At 39.3% G+C, this 17,396-nt stretch overlaps 1 long non-coding RNA gene and 2 pseudogenes across 1 annotated transcript; 1 reads left to right on the top strand and 2 right to left on the bottom strand.

The window, feature by feature from the left end:
- The first annotated feature begins 986 nt into the window (after positions 1-986).
- TTTY17A (testis expressed transcript, Y-linked 17A) lies at positions 987-2,118 on the top strand. Its single transcript, NR_001526.1, has 2 exons — positions 987-1,046; positions 2,013-2,118. It is a non-coding gene; the product is annotated as a testis expressed transcript, Y-linked 17A (long non-coding RNA).
- Positions 10,383-11,247, bottom strand: TRIM60P4Y (tripartite motif containing 60 pseudogene 4, Y-linked; annotated as a pseudogene).
- Positions 16,544-17,157, bottom strand: ZNF736P11Y (zinc finger protein 736 pseudogene 11, Y-linked; annotated as a pseudogene).

A 17,396-nucleotide genomic window follows, 5' to 3' on the forward strand; every position in this document is an offset into this window, starting at 1 on the left:
GTCTGAGAGACATTTTGTTATAATTTCTGTTTTTTTACATTTGCTGAGGTGTGCTTTACTTCCAACTATATGGTTGATTTTGGAATGGTTGGGGTGTGGTTCTGAGAAGAACGTATATTCTGTTGATTTGGGGTGGAGAGTTCTGTAGACATCTATTAGGTCCGCCTGGTGCAGAGCTGAATTCAATTCCTACAATAATAACAGGAGACTTTAACACCCCACTGTCAACATTAGGCAGATCAATGAGACAGAAAGTTAACAAGGATACCTTCAATTTCTTTAATGATTTTATGGAATTGCTATTTTACATTCTCCTGTCTTTATCTCTACATGTTCAATTAGAAAATCCTCAGTGAATACTTTTCAGTATGATAGAGAAAATATTGTGCAATTAATTACTGATAGATACACAGTGAAGTAATTTCTGGTTTTCATTTGGTGCTCTCACACTGAGGATAGAAAAGTCTTGGTTGTAATCTTACATGATGAGGAGTTCTACTATGCTGTTTTCTTTTGCTCTGTGATCTACTGTCACAGTTGTTTGAACTTGCCACTGAAAAAAGTGGGAAATTGTTTCCCTCATGTCTACTCATCTCCCTTTCATAGGTTTTCTGGTGGTGCATTGTCTAGATGGCTTAGTAGCTCATGATCACAGAGGTCATATTTGACAAGAGAAAGCTTTGTTGCTCCAGGACTAAGTGAAGGTGTTTACCACCTAGTGCCTAAGGTTTCTCCAGAGCCACGATGGAGCTTAAAAACCATTACTGAAACCAGAAAGTGATGGCAGACATTGAGGGCTGCCCAGAGTAGAAAGCAAAATGCTCCCTTTTGCTTTACAAGTGGTCACTGCTTATTTGGTCATTAATGTTGCTTCTGACCATGACGTGTTTCTTGTTCATCTTTCTTGGTATTCCACTGAAGGTGCATCTAAGGAAACGAGCCCTGTGTGATAGTGGTAAAGAGAACAACTGCATCCTTCTGTAGCTGATGCCTTGTTGAGCTTTGAAGCACATTGAGAAGAATCTGAAATCCTTCCTCATTATGGGGTAAGTTGTGTCAAATTTGACTCCCATGTAAATGGCAGCAGGTTCACGATGTCAAAGAAGAAACTCAGAATCAGTAAATAGGATATGGAGTTTTACTGGCGACTTACATAGAGGGGAGAAAGTCCAGTGTCAGTGGGCTTAGCAGGATAACCACGTCCACTTGGAAAAAGCATGCAGTGTGCATAGCATATTTATTAAGCACATTTTTTCTGAACAATCTTTTATCTGTTGTCCTTCATTTAACAAAAAATAAGGGCCTCAGTCCCCTGTGTGGCCTACTCCATACCACAGCATGGGAGAGAGCAAAGGCTCAGACTTTCCTCATAGATAAAGAGTAATCTCCAGGTTGGCCACTACTAGATTTTTTTTTTTTTTTTTTTTGAAATGAAGTTTCACTCTTGTTGCCCAGGCTGGAGGGTGTTTGCACAATCTCAGCTCACCGAAACCTCCGCCTCACAGGTTCAAGTGATTCCTCTGCCTCAGCCTTCTGAGTAGCTAGGATGACAAGCATTTGCCATGATACCTGGCTAATTTTGTATTTTTAGTAGAGACCAGGATTCTTCATGTTGATAAGGTGGTTCTTGAACTCCTGACCTCAGATGATCCATCTGATTTGGCCTCCCAAACTGCTGGGAGTACAGGCCTGACCCACTGCAGCTGGCCAGGCCACTAGTAGATTTTTAGCTTGAAACTCTGAACACTCAGAAACATTTTTTATATAAGATCAGTCTTCAGGTATGTGCAAGACAAGTTACCACTGTCAGTTGCATCCATCATACAGGCTGGTCCAGGCAGTGGAGGTTCTTCTTCCTGAGAATCTAGATTCAAACTTTTTTTTTCCTTTTTCTTGAATCCTTGGATTAACAGGAGTTTATCTAAAAAGCCTGATGTGTGTGCACATTGCTGGTATGGTTTTCTAAGTAAATGAGATGGCTTCTTACTTGGTAGGGTTTGTTCCTGTTACAGGTGTGTTCAGGCTGCTGAGGTGCCCATTCTCAAGATTTTCACTGGACATTCTGGGGTCCCAGTTCAAGTATTTTCCAATGTGAGTCAAGGTGAACCAGAGCCTGAAATTTTGGTTCAGTGTGGCCAGGCTGAGGCTGCCCTTTTAAAGGGAGAAATGTCAGGTTTGTGTCTTATTTTCCTTGTCATTTTAACATATCTTTTGGAATGGAGACCAGAAAAGAATCTGGATATTTGACAGCCCTCCTCCTAGATCTGGTACTATCTATACATGACTCTTAAGTGTCAACGTAGTTTGAGAGATCTCTCTTCCTGGAATAGCCTGAGTAGCCTAAAGAACAATGATCCTTGATGCTTGGCTCATGTGGTCTTCAGAGGAATTTCAAAAACCATAGAATTTGGAGGGTAGAGAAAGAGCTGTTACAAGTGATATGTTGCAGATGAAATAACTGGAGGCACGAAGTAAATGGGACCTGCTTGGAATGGTACACACACTGCCTGAGTGCAGTTGAACAGTCAAGCCAGTTCTCTGATTTGGGCCTACACTCACAATGAAGAGGAATATTTTTCCTCAAGGGAAGCCCAGGGGTTCTGAGGATTATGGGTGCCAGTGAAGAAAAAATGTGATGCCTCAGCCTAGTGCTTTTGCTGCTCCTGGCTTGTGACTTTGGGGATTCAATTTTCTCATTAGAGACATGGGCAATGGAAGTCACTCAGTGACTGGCTGCTCACCCAAGTTTTACCAGGCCACTACCCAGTGCGCACCCTGGAGTTCCAGGTACAGCTTGTGGTTCAAAAGGCTGGGGGATCTCTTGGGTGAGTTGAGGGCTTTGAGGGGGTTCTCCCACTCAGGGACCACTCATACCTACCCTTGTGTGCCCATCTGACAGCTCAGCATGTCTGCTGTATGCCACCCTTACTTTCTGCTCTGGCCAAGCCCATGTCTCCCCGGATTGGCTAGGGGCACTTGCTCACTAAGTCCCAGGTGACCTGTCCGTCCTTCCTCCAATGCACATCTTCAGGCAGGTGTCACCCAAATTTCCTCCTAGAGTGTGATCTCTGTGGGTTAGAGCAGCACATTCTGCTACAGCTTATTGACGAGTTACTAAATCACTGAATTTTCCAAGAAGAATGTGATCCTTGACACTCTTGATCTCCTTCTAGGGGGGCTGCACTTGTGGTTGCCATCCTGATTTCTTTGTGGAAATACCTAGTGGGTGAGGAAGGACTCAAGGACCGGGAACATGACAGAGCACCTAGGCTGACCTACCACGTGGCCCTCTGAGATCACTGCTGGCAGGAGTGTTTCATGGAGCTCCAGGCCCCTATTCTAAGATGCTTGCCCATAGCCCCTTCCGTGACTTCCAGGAAAGGTCTACTCTTTTAGCAAGCTGCACCCACTGGTCTCTAGGAGACAAGTATTCATTTACCTTTGTGTAAGTCACCTTCTGCTTCATTTCTATTAAATGTTCTCCTGGAAAAAAATGCCTAAGGAATGCTGGGTCTGTGCTGGAGCTTCTCTAAGTGCCAAAATCAGTAAGACGGTCTCAAAGATATAATTAATAGCACTTTCTACACAATATCTCAGGTTACTTTTGACCAATAATGTGTAAAACTAATACTATCCTTTCATTCTTCATATTACTTTATTTAGGTCATCATACAAACATTTCATTTTCTTGAAATTTTTTATGCCAATTATTGTATTTTCTCTACTTTGTTCTAATTGCTACCATTTTAGATGCAAAATTTTAGTAATATAATATGCTGCATAAAGGCTAATAGGTGATCACAACTTATTTAAACTGTAATTAGATTTCTTAAGTAAATAATTTCAGAAAACTGAGTTTATATTATTTGTATGAATTATTTTACATCTTATCCTCTATCTTAAGAAAATTTTAGCTGCATATGCAATTCAAAATTGGCAGATTTTTTAAATAGGCAACTTTAAAACATTTCATTGAATATGTTTGGTAATACAATTCTAAAATATTTTATTTTAGAAACCAACACACTTGACAGTTGATATTCATATTATCTATGAAAGTAACATTATGAACATGCTTTTATAGTTTCCCAAAAGAAGAAAAAAGTCTATTCTGGTCTTCAGTAGTAAAACTTAAAGATTATGGAAATGAGATTAAATTTATTCACTAAAATACTTACAAAAACTGAGATTCATTAACTTGTTCTTTATTATTTACTATATGATAATGAACAGATTATAAGATGTTCAGAATTTGCTTCATTATAGAAATAAAGCCAAACATCTCTTTGAAAGAATCATTACAATTAAACAGAAGAAACCTATCATTTATATTATTTTAAAAATCACTGGAGGAGCCAAGATGGCCGAATAGGAACAGCTCCGGTCTACAGCTCCCAGGGTGAGTGAAGCAGAAGATGGTGATTTCTGCATTTCCATCTGAGGTACCCAGTTCATCTCACTAGGGAGTGCCAGACAGTGGGCGCAGGTCAGTGGGTGCGCGCACCATGTGCAAGCCGAAGCAGGGCCAGGCATTGCCTCACTTGGGAAGTACAAGGGGTCAGGGAGTTCTCTTTCTGAGTCAAAGAAAGGGGTGATGGACGCACCTGAAAACTCGGGTTACTCCCACCAGAATACTGCTCTTTTCTGACCGGCTTAAGAAACGGCACACCACGAGATTATATCCCACACCTGGCTCAGAGGGTCCTATGCCCACGGAGTCTTGCTGATTGCTAGCACAGCAGTCTGAGATCAAACTGCAAGGTGGCAGCGAGGCTGGAGGAGGGGCGCCCGACATTGCCCAGGCTTGCTTAGGTAAACAAAGCAGCAGGGAAGCTCGAACTGGGTGGAGCCCACCACAGCTCAAGGAGGCCTGCCTGCCTCTGTAGGCTCCACCTCTAGGGGCAGGGCACAGACAAACAAAAAGACAGCAGTAACCTCTGCAGACTTAAATGTCCCTGTCTGACAGCTTTGAAGAGAGCAGTGGTTCTCCCAGCAAGCAGCTGGAGATCTGAGAAGGGGCAGACTGCCTCCTCAAGTGGGTCCCTGACCCCTGACCCCTGAGCAGCCTAACTGGGAGGCACCCCCCAGCAGGGGCACACTGACACCTCACACGGCAGGGTATTCCAACAGAACTGCAGCTGAGGGTCCTGTCTGTTAGAAGGAAAACTAACAAACAGAAAGGACATCCACACCAAAAACCCATCTGTACATCACCATCATCAAAGACCAAAAGTAGATAAAACCACAAAGATGGGGAAAAAACAGAACAGAAAAACTGGAAACTCTAAAAAGCAGAGCGCCTCTCCTCCTCCAAAGGAACGCAGTTCCTCACCAGCAACGGAACAAAGCTGGATGGAGAATGACTTTGACGAGCTGAGAGAAGAAGGCTTCAGACGATCAAATTAATCTGAGCTACAGGAGGACATTCAAACCAAAGGCAAAGAAGTTGAAAACTTGAAAAAAAATTAGGAGAATGTATAACTAGAATAACCAATACAGAGAAGTGCTTAAAGGAGCTGATGGAGCTGAAAACCAAGGCTCAAGAACTACATGAAGAATGCAGAAGCCTCAGGAGCCGGTGCGATCAACTGAAAGAAAGGGTATCAGCGATGGAAGATGAAATGACTGAAATGAAGTGAGAAGGGAAGTTTAGAGAAAAAAGAATAAAAAGAAATGAACAAAGCCTCCAAGAAATATGCGACTATATGAAAAGACCAAATCTATGTCTGATTGGTGTACCTGAAAGTGACAGGGAGAATGGAACCAAGCTGGAAAACACTCTGCAGGATATTATCCAGGAGAACTTCCCCAATCTAGCAAGGCAGGCCAATGTTCAGATTCAGGAAATACAGAGAACACCACAAAGATACTCCTCAAGAAGAGCAAGACACATAATTGTCAGATTCACCAAAGTTGAAACAAAGGAAAAAATGTTAAGGGCAGCCAGAGAGAAAGGTCGGGTTACCCTCAAAGGGAAGCCCATCAGACCAAGAGTGGATCTCTCGGCAGAAACCCTACAAGCCAGAAGATAGTGAGGGCCAATATTCAACATTCTTAAAGAAAAGAATTTACAAACCAGAATTTCATATCCAGCCAAACTAAGCTTCATAAGCGAAGGAGAAATAAAATACTTTACAGACAAGCAAATGCTGAAAGATTTTGTCACCACTAGACCTGCCCTAAAAGAGCTCCTGAAGGAAGCGCTAAACATTCAAAGGAACAACAAGAACCAGCCACTGGAAAATCATGTCAAAATGTAAAGACCATCAAGACTAGGAAGAAACTGTATCGACTAACGAGCAAAATAACCAGCTAACATCATAATGACAGGATCAAATTCACACATAACAATATTAACTTTAAAAGTAAATGGACTAAATGTTCCAATTAAAAGACACAGACTGGCAAATTGGATAAAGAGTCAACACCCATCAGTGTGCAGTATTCAGGAAACCCATCTCACGTGCAGAGACACACATAGGCTCAAAATAAAAGGATGGAGGAAGATCTACCAAGCAAATGGAAAACAAAAAAAGGCAGGGGTTGCAATCCTAGTCTCTGATAAAACAGACGTTAAACCAACAAAGACCAAAAGAGACAAAGAAGGCCACTACATAATGGTAAAGGGATCAATTCAACAAGAAGAGCTAACTATCTTAAATATATATGCACCCAATACAGGAGCACCAAGATTCATAAAGCAAGTCCTGAGTGACCTACAAAGAGACTTAGACTCCCACACAATAATAATGGGAGACTTTAACACCCCACTGTCAACATTAGACAGATCAAAGAGACAGAAGGTTAACAAGGATACCCAGGAATTGAACTCAGCTCTGCACCAAGCGGACCTAATAGACATCTGCAGAACTCTCCACCCCAAATCAACAGAATATACATTTTTTTTCAGCACCAAACCACACTTATTCCAAAATTGACCACATACTTGGAAGTAAAGCTCTCCTCAGCAAATGTAAAAGAACAGAAATTATAACAAACTATGTCTCAGACCACAGTGCAATCAAACTAGAACTCAGGATTAAGAATCGCACTCAAAACCACTCAACTACATGGAAACTGAACAACCTGCTCCTGAAGGACTACTGGGTACATAACGAAATGAAGGCAGAAATAAAGATGTTCTTTGAAACCAACGAGAACAAAGACACAACATACCAGAATCTCTGGGACGCATTCAAAGCAGTGTGTAGAGGGAAATTTATAGCACTAAATGCCCACAAGAGAAAGCAGGAAAGATCCAAAATTGACACCGTAACATCACAATTAAAAGAACTAGAAAAGCAAGAGCAAACACAGTCAAAAGCTAGCAGAAGGCAATAAATAACTAAAATCAGAGCAGAACTGAAGGAAATAGAGACACAAAAAACCCTTCAAAAAATTAATGAATCCAGGAGCTGGTTTTTTGAAAGGATCAACAAAATGATAGACCGCTAGCAAGACTAATAAAGAAAAAAAGAGAGAAGAATCAAATAGATGCAATAAAAAATGATAAAGGGGATATCACCACCGATCCCACAGAAATACAAACTACCATCAGAGAATACTAAAAACACCTCTATGCAAATAAACTAGAAAATCTAGAAGAAATGGATAAATTCCTGGACACATACACTCTCCCAAGACTAAACCAGGAAGAAGTTGAATCTCTGAATAGACCAATAACAGGATCTGAAATTGTGGCAATAATCAATAGCTTACCAACCAAAAAGAGTCCAGGACCAGATGGAATCACAGCCAAATTCTACCAGAGGTACAAGGAGGAACTGGTACCATTCCTTCTGAAACTATTCCAATTAATAGAAAAAGAGGGAATCCTCCCTAACTCTTTTCCCGAGGCCAGCGTCATTCCGATACCAAAGCCAGGCAGAGACACAACAAAAAAAGAGAATTTTAGACCAATACCCTAGATGAACACTGATGCAAAAATCCTCAATAAAATAATGGCAAAACGAATCCAGCAACACATCAAAAAGCTTATTCACCATGATCAACTGGGCTTCATTCCTGAGATGCAAGGCTGGTTGAATATATGCAAATCAATAAATGTAATCCAGCATATAAACAGAGCCAAAGACAAAAACCACACGATTCTCTCAATAGATGCAGTAAAAGCCCTTGACAAAATTCAACAACCCTTCTGCTAAAAACTCTCAATAAATTAGGTATTGATGGGACGTATTTCAAAATAATAAGAGCTATCTATGACAAACCCACAGCCAATATCATACTGAATGGGCAAAAACTGGAAGCATTCTCTTTGAAAACTGGCACAAGACAGGGATGCCCTCTCTCACCACTCCTATTCAACATAGTGTTGGAAGTTCTGGCCAGGGCAATTAGGCAGGAGAAGGAAATAAAATGTATTCAATTAGGAGAAGAGGAAGTCAAATTGTCCCTGTTTGCAGACGACATGATTGTATATCTAGAAAACCCCATCGTCTCAGCTCAAAATCTCCTTAAGCTGATAAGCAACTTTAGCAAAGTCTCAGGATACAAAATCGATGTACAAAATACACAAGCATTCTTATACACCAACAACAAACAAACGGAGAGCCAAATCATGAGTGAACTCTCATTCACAATTGCTTCAAAGAGAATAAAAAACCTAGGAATCCAACTTACAAGGGATGTGAATGACCTCTTCAAGGAGAACTACAAACCACTGCTCAAGGAAATAAAAGAGGATACAAACAAATGGAAGAACATTCCATGCTCATGGATAGGAAGAATTAATATCGTGTAAATGGCCATACTGCCCAAGGTCAGTTACAGATTCAATGCCATCCCCATCAAGCTACCAATGCCTTTCTTCACAGAATTGGAAAAAAAAACTTTAAAGTTCATATGGATCCAAAAAAGAGCCCACATTGCCAAGTCAATCCTAAACCAAAAGAACAAAGCTGGAGGCGTCACACTACCTGACTTCAAACTATACTACAAGTCTACAGTAACCAAAACAGCATGGTACTGTTACCAAAACAGAGATATAGATCAATGGAACAGAACAGAGCCCTCAGAAATAACGCCGCATATCTACAACTATCTGATCTTTGACAAACCTGAGAAAAACAAGCAATGGGGAAAGGATTCCCTATTTAATAAATGGTGCTGGGAAAACTGGTAGCCATATGTAGAAAGCTGAAACTGGATCCCTTCCTTACACCTTATACAAAAATCAATTCAAGATGGATTAAAGACTTAAACGTTAGGCCTAAAACCATAAAAACCCTAGAAGAAAACCTAGGCTTTACCCTTCAGGACATAGGCATAGGCAAGGACTTCATGTCTAAAACACCAAAAGCAATGGCAACAAAAGACAAAATTGACAAACGGGATCTAATTTAACTAAAGAGCTTCTGCACAGCAAAAGAAACTACTGTCAGAGTGAACAGGCAACCTACAAAATGGGAGAAAATTTTCACAACCTACTCATCTGACAAAGGGCTAATATCCAGAATCTACAATGAGCTAAAACAAATTTACAAGAAAAGAACAAACAACCCCATCAAAAAGTGGGTGAAGGACATGAACAGACACTTCTCAAAAGAAAACATTTATGCAGCCAAAAAACACATGAAAAAATGCTCATCATCACTGGCCATCAGAGAAATGCAAATTAAAACCACAATGAGATATCATCTCACACCAGTTAGAATGGCAATCATTAAAAAGTCAGGAAACAACAGGTGCTGGAGAGGATGTGGAGAAACAGGAACACTTTTACACTGTTGGCGGGACTGTAAACTAGTTCAACCATTGTAGAAGTCAGTGTGGCGATTCCTCAGGGATCTAGAACTGGAAATAGCATTTGACCCAGCCATCCCATTACTGGGTATATACCCAAAGGACTATAAATCATTCTGCTATAAAGACACATGCACACGTATGTTTATTGCAGCATTATTCACAATAGCAAAGACTTGGAACCAACCCAAATGTCCAACAATGATAGACTGGATTAAGAAAATGTGGCACATATACACCATGGAATACTATGCAGCCATTAAAAATGATGAGTTCATGTCCTTTGTAGGGACATGGGTGAAATTGGAAATCATCGTTCTCAGTAAACTATCTCAAGAACAAAAAACCAAACACCGCATATTCTCACTCATAGGTGGGAATTGAACAATGAGATCACATGGACACAGGAAGGGGAATATCACAGTCTGGGGACTGTGGTGGGGTGGGGGGAGGGGGGAGGGATAGCATTGGGAGATATACCTAATGCTAGATGACGAGTTAGTGGGTGCAGTGCACCAGCATGGCATATGTATACATATGTAACTAACCTGCACAATGTGCACATGGACCCTAAAACTTAAAGTATAATAAAAAAAAATCACCAATTTATATTAAAAAAAAAAAAACTTACTGGATTTTACTTCTGGCAGAAGCAGGTTTTCTTAGTACCTGGTGCAATGAAACCAGCCTTCATATGTCACATAATTGCCCAAAATTTACCCTGAACAGAAGGCTGATTCTGCCAGTTTCTAAGAAGAGCTATGATTCTAAGAGGCCAGGACAGCAGGGCAGAAATAAAATATCCTTTGTTTATAACAAATGTTTGGTATTATTATTCCATATCACACAGTTTTTCTATCCTCAGAGAAATTAAGTTGAGGATAGGATGTGTCAAGATCTAGAATCAAGGCTTGGCGTGGTGGCTGACACGTGTAATCCCAGCAGTTTGGGAGGCTGAGATGGGCAAATCAGAAGGTCAGGAGATCAACCATTTTGTCTAACAATGGTGAAACCCCGTCTCTACTAAAAACACAAAAAAATTAGCCAGGCATGGCAGTGGGCACATGTAGTCCCATCTACTTAGGAGGCTGATGCAGAAGAATCAATTTAACCCAGGAGGTGGAGGTTGTAGTGCACTGAGATCACACCACTGTACTCCAGTGTGGGTGGCAGAGCAAGACTCCATTAAAAAAAAAAATCCAGAATCAAATGTAAAAAAAATGGCCTAGTAATTTTGTCTAAGACACAATATAGAGTTGGGAGATTAAAATCATATTTTGCTAATCTAAAGGGAAAGGGTTTCGGGAATTTTAGGTTTTGATACCTGTGGTGCACAGTATTGACATGTATTAGCCATTCCAGGTTTGATTAAATAGACATGCCCTCTACCTCACTCAGTAGATGTTTAAAGGTAGAAATGCAATTTAAAAATTTTACAAGATTTTAACTTAGTTTTTATAGTATGTCCAACTCTATAATTTGTTTCAATTGTGAGAGTCAACTGTGCAGCAGTGGTACAATTTTGTTCACTTCATATGCAGAATTCATGTCATACTATAGACATTTTTATTTTCATCTGAGTCTACTGGCTAATTTCAAGAAGAATATTTATTTCTAATTATGTAGCTTCTATTATATAGCTAGTATTATCTTGTTTACTTCATGTATATGCCAAAAGGACCTCATGACTTAATAAATGTTCAACTATTAATTTGAATAAATTGGCCTAATAAGTTTAATAAACTCAATTATATCAAGTTCATAATGTAAAATGAACAATAAATAAAAATTGGATTAAATAGCATTCTCAAATTGAAATAAAATAAAAAATGTACTAAATAAATAGCATACAATAATACACACACCATGAAATTACATGTAAAAATTATTTTGTGAAGATCATTAAATTTTATCAAAGTCACATTCATCATCTCTGAGAAAATTATACAAGGAATGCTTTATGAAATTAGACTAAAATAAATGTATATATTATGTCTATAGTGAGCAACAAGCAAACAGACAAAAAAAGGAGAATGTGCACAAGATGTTTCTAAGACAAGAGCAATAACATTTTTGGTAAACGGGATTAATACAAGGCAGAGAAAATAGATTTGCTTTCAAAATCTTTGAAGTTTCCGGTTTGCTGGTAAGTTATCAAGACATGTAAAATTATGTGTTTTATTCTAATATTTTTCTTTGCTTCTCAAAGTAGGTACACAATCACAAACAAATATGAGTATTCTCTATAGAGCTGTTACATACAAAGTTTATTTTACAGTGATTTGTCTGTATATTTACATCCATTTAAATAAAAAATAAAGGTATGAATATGTTTAGCAGACCAGAGAAGTCATCAGTTAAAAAAAAGAAGTAGGATAAAATTTTGCAAATAGTTGTTCAGAATTCAGAATTAAAGCATATAGGTCTATTATATTCCAAATCTTCATAACAACCATCACAATAATCTGTAGTTACAAGAAAAACAAAAATATAAATTGTAGGAACCATATTCTTCAAATTATTTTAAGTTAAAGACCACTGACAAAGGAATCATGAGAGATATTATTTCAGTGTAATTCTATAGAATATAGTTACCATCTGTTACCTACAACCATGGGTAAAATGGGATAAGTAACATCAGTGGCAAGATAAAAATTCAATGTAAAGTAGCATTATTACATTCACAAATATTTTCTTCAATTAAAAAAATTAAGTTTACACATTGCCATTAAAAAGGCATTTTGAAATTCACTGTATTTTAATTATCTTAATCTGCAAATGGTAAAGCAATTTCCTTCTAAAATCCAAATTGTTTCTCTTACTATGCAGAATATTATTCTGGTTACTTTTCACACTCCTATCATCCTGTCACTTATGATACTGCACTTATGATACCCAACCACTAAGTAGACTTTCCACTTAGAATTTCTTCATGTATCTTAGATTTCAGTTTTCTTAATCTTCCATATGAAAGTATATAAATCTGTCAATCTAATATAGAAGAACCTCTCTTAAATCTAGTGCAGGGACCATTGACCATGCTCTTTCACATAAATTCTAGAAATGAACACACAGCTTCAAATATAAGACTTAAATTCCATCAATAGTTGCTTTTGAAAAAATATTAAATTTTTATTTGTTTGTTATGAGAGAAAGTTTCACCCTGTTGCCATGCTGGACTGCAGTGTGTGATCTTGGCTCACTGCAACCTCCACTTCCTGCATTCAAGCAATCCTCCTGCCTTAGACTCCTGAGTACCTGGAACTACAGGTGTGCACCACCATGCTCAAAAGTTTTTTTTGTTTTGTTTTGTTTTTGTTTGTTTTTTGTAGATATGGGGTTTCACCATGTTGGCCAGAATGGTTTTGATTTCTTGACCTCATGATCTATCCACCTTGACCTCCCCAAATCCTGGGATTACACACATGAGCCTCTGTGCCCAGCTTAAATTATTTTCATATAAAAAAGTAGGTTTCTTTTAGAGGAAAGAGACCAACATTGCAGATTAGGAGCAGCTAGACCCTGTAGTTCTCACAGAGAAAAATGCAAGGCGTGCATAAATACAGCACCTTCAAATGAAATATCCAGGTATTTGCCTTCAGAATAATCAAATAAACAACTTGTGGAGAGTAGAGCAAGGCCGAACAATGGGCCACCCAGAAAAGACATAGAGCCAAGAGAACCTCCCCATCCAGTAAAGCAGTAAGTGCATGTGTGACCCTGGGAACCTACAATTCTCCCACACATCTTTTTAATCCTCAGATGGGGAGACTCCCTGAGGAACCTACTTTACCAAGGCCTTTAGTCTAACACATAGAGCTACTTGGAGTCTCAGCATAGCAACTGCACTGGCGTGTTGCAGAGCCACAGATACTCTGGCTTTCCAGGATTCCCAGAAAAAGTAGCTGCAACGCCAGCAAAGCAGGAGGTTATACCCATATACATACCTATAGGAAATAGGCAGAATCCAGGGACCTGAGCAGTGACAGTCTGTAGGACCCACTTCCACAGTGCCTCATAGAGTAAGATCTACTGGCTTAGAATTCCAGCCAATCATTGGCAGCAGCGCTGTATCTCTCTGAATTGGAGCTACCAGAAACAGGAGTGGACCTCCATCTTTGCTGTTTCAACAACATAGCCATCCCAGCCTTCAGGCTTTGAAAAGCCTAAGCTGACTGGGGCAGCAAGGATCTATAGCACCGTACAGGTGCTCTAAAATGACACCACCAGTCTGCCTGGTAAAGCACGTCCCCAAACTCTTCCTCCTCACTGAAAAGAACTTCCCAAACAGGGTGTCCAGCTACCACCACCAGTGTTATTTGATTTATGGAATTTTGAAACCTCTTCGGGGTATAGTTCCTAGAGTGAAGAGTGAGCTGCCACTTTTGCTGTTTTTGTGACTTAGCTGTTCCAGCTTTCTGGCTTTGGAGAATCCAAATAAACAAGGGATGAAAGTGATACCTCTGCACAGCAGAGCTCTCCTACAAAAATGTGGCTAGACTGCTATCTTAAGTGGGTCCCGAATTATGTTTTCCTCACTGGGTAAGACATTTGAAGAGGGGTTCCAGCTATCTCCTTCAGGTGCTTTTGGGCTGGAAACAGGTCTATACCTGCCTGGGATGGAGCTTCCAGAGAATGGGGCATACTGCCTTTGTTGCTGTTTTTCAGCATTCAGTGGGACAGCTTCAGATTCTGTAAAACCTGAGGTGACCAGAAACTGCAGTGGACACAAAACATACTGCAGCAGCCCTTTAGAAAAGTGGCCATACTGTTACATGAGCACCTGTTCTCACACATTCTCACTGTGCAGACTCTCCAGGTCTCGGCCATTAGCCAATCATTGGCAGGGATATTGAGCCTGCAGCAACCTAGCAACTTCCTGGACACAGCCTCTAGGAGTAACTGAAAATATTTCTGCCACTATCTCTGTGTTAGAACTGTCCTTGCTATGCTTCTCAGACTAATGAAAAATTCAAAACCCAGGTACCTTATTTACACCTCAAACAAGCTGCATTTTACCCAAAGAGTGAGGGCCAGTCCACCCTCCATGGGTTCCACAAGCTACCTATTGCTCCTCACAAGACAGTAAACACCAAACTTGGCCAAAAGCAGAGATCCTCCATCCTGGGCTGTCTGTAGTAAGGGATTGCTGACCTACATCTCTCTGAGATGCAGCCCCTAGAAGCCAAGCAAAGAAGGGGCAGCAAGCCACCTCATGTGGTGTCAAGAGTGTTGGTGCAAGAGCATCTGTAGTAATATGTTGCCAGTGATGGCCACTTCTCTAGGTTCAACTTTCTCCCATAAGAGGCTTTAGCCCTAGAAAAATTGTTGGACCTAATTTTTGCAGGATGGTCTTGCAAATCAGAAGAAATTGTTCCAATTGAATACCCCTTGGTCTCCTGGCCTCTTATAGGGACCTATTCTGGCCACAGGTTCTTACAGGGCAGTCTCAGTTACCCTGGGATCCCATACCATAGCATCGGTACTGGTGGGCCATGCCTGATCCCTGAAGAGCTTCAGCAATACAGCCCCTATGACTCCACCAGTCCACATGTTTCTTCCCCATACTGCAGCTTCCCACGAGACCAAAGTAAGCTTATATCCAACCAAAGGGAGCTTCAGAAGTGAAAAAAATTAATATGATCCTATTCACATAAGCAAACGCTGAAGAAATCTGTTACCCAAGACCTGTCTTACAAGGGCTTCTGAAGAAAACACTAAATAAAAAAAAACCCTGTAATTAGTCACTTCAAAAACACACCAAAGTAAATAAACTGCTGACACTCTAAAGCGACCACAAAACAAATGTGCAAAATAGCCAGCTAAAATCGTGGTGGCAGAATCAAATCAACACATATGAATACTAACCATAACTGTAAATGGGCTAAATGCCCCAATTAAAAAACAGTGTGGCAAGTTGAGTAAAGAATCAAGATCTAATGGTATTCTGTAATCTAGACACTCATCTCAATTAAGCTAAATATAAAGAAAAAAGAGAAATCTACCAAATAGATGGAAAACAGAAAAAAGGAGGTGATGCAATCCTAGTTTCTAGCAAAGCAAACTTAAAATCCACGTAGTTTTTTTTTAAGAGAAAGAAGGCATTCCATAATAGTAAAATGCAATAGACAAACCCAACCCAAAAGCACTGAGTATAAAGCGAGTTCTTAGTGATGCTGCAAGATGTTAAGTTAAATCTTCTTCAACAGTCATTACCTTTATGTGGCATTTGTTCAGTATTAAGTCTCTGATGTTGGACATAAAATGAGGATGCTTTAAAAGCTTTTCCACATTTTTAACACTTGTGAAGCTTCTCTCTACTATGAGTTCTATTATTTCTAATGAAGTGTGAGAATGAACTTAATGTTTCACCACATTCTTCACATTTGTAGGCTTTTCCTGCAGTGTGAATTCTCTTATGATTAGCAAAGTCTGAAAAGCACTTAAAGGTTTTGCCACATGCTTCAGATTTGTAAGGGCTGTCTTCTATATGAATTATCTTGTGGTTAATAAGGATTGAAAAGCAGGTAAAGGCTTTGACTTTTTTTTTTCTACAGGTGTAGGGTTTCCCTCCAGTATAAATTCTCTTATGTTTACTAACGGCTGAGAACCACTTAAAAGCTTCTCCACATTAGTTATATATGTAGGGTTTCTCTTCAGTATGAGTTATCTTATGTTTATTAAGGTCTGAGAACCCCCCATAGGCTCTGTGACATTCTTCACATTTGTATGATGGTTTCTCTCCAGTATAAATTATTTTATTTTTAGCAAGTTCTGAGAATTCTCTTAGAATTAGTAAGGTCTGAGAAACATTTAAAGGCTTTTACACATTCTTTGCAATTGTAGGATCTATTTCCAAAATGATTTATCTTGTGTTTAATAAGGGTTGAGGAGCAGGTTAAAATTTTGTCACATTCTTCACATTTGTAGGTTTTTCCTCCAGTATGAACTCTCTTATGTTCAGTAAGGTTTGAGAACTTTTTAAAGGCTTTGCCGCATTCTTCATATCTGTAGCATCTCTCTGCAGTAAGTATTCCATTTTTTATAGTAAAATCTGAGAACTACCTACAGTTTCTGCCATATTCTTTGCATTTGTAGTATTTCTCTCTGCTAAAGGTTTTCTTCTGTTCACTGAAGATTGGGTACACCTGGAAAGCTTTCCAAATTTATAACATTGACAAGTTTTTCTCTGGGTAGTTGATAAACATTGAAGAAAGAAATTATAACTGCTTTTCTTTCTGTCCCTTGTAGTAATTCACACTTTGCTAGTCTTTTTTAAATGTAAATGGTTAAGGTCACAGGTTCCATATTTTCTCAGAATCACTTTTTGAAATGAATGTTTTATAATATGTTCCCACCATATGTCTGCAGTAATATGAAAAGAGCCAGCTGAAAAACAAAAACAAAAGGAACAACAAAATTTCTCCCACATTAGGCTCATGTGAATACATTTTACAAATATTAGTTACACAAAGCACATTAACAAGGTGACAATAAAATACCACAGGCTGTAATTCCTTTATAGACATGTAAACTTAACACAATTATAATGAACAAAATTCCTGTGTGAGAAGACTAAGAATCAGTTAAGAATTTATAGCACTTCAAGGGAGCAAAATGTCAAGAACTAC

This window comes from Homo sapiens, chromosome Y, assembly GCF_000001405.40.
Source record: "Homo sapiens chromosome Y, GRCh38.p14 Primary Assembly".
NCBI lineage: Eukaryota > Metazoa > Chordata > Mammalia > Primates > Hominidae > Homo > Homo sapiens.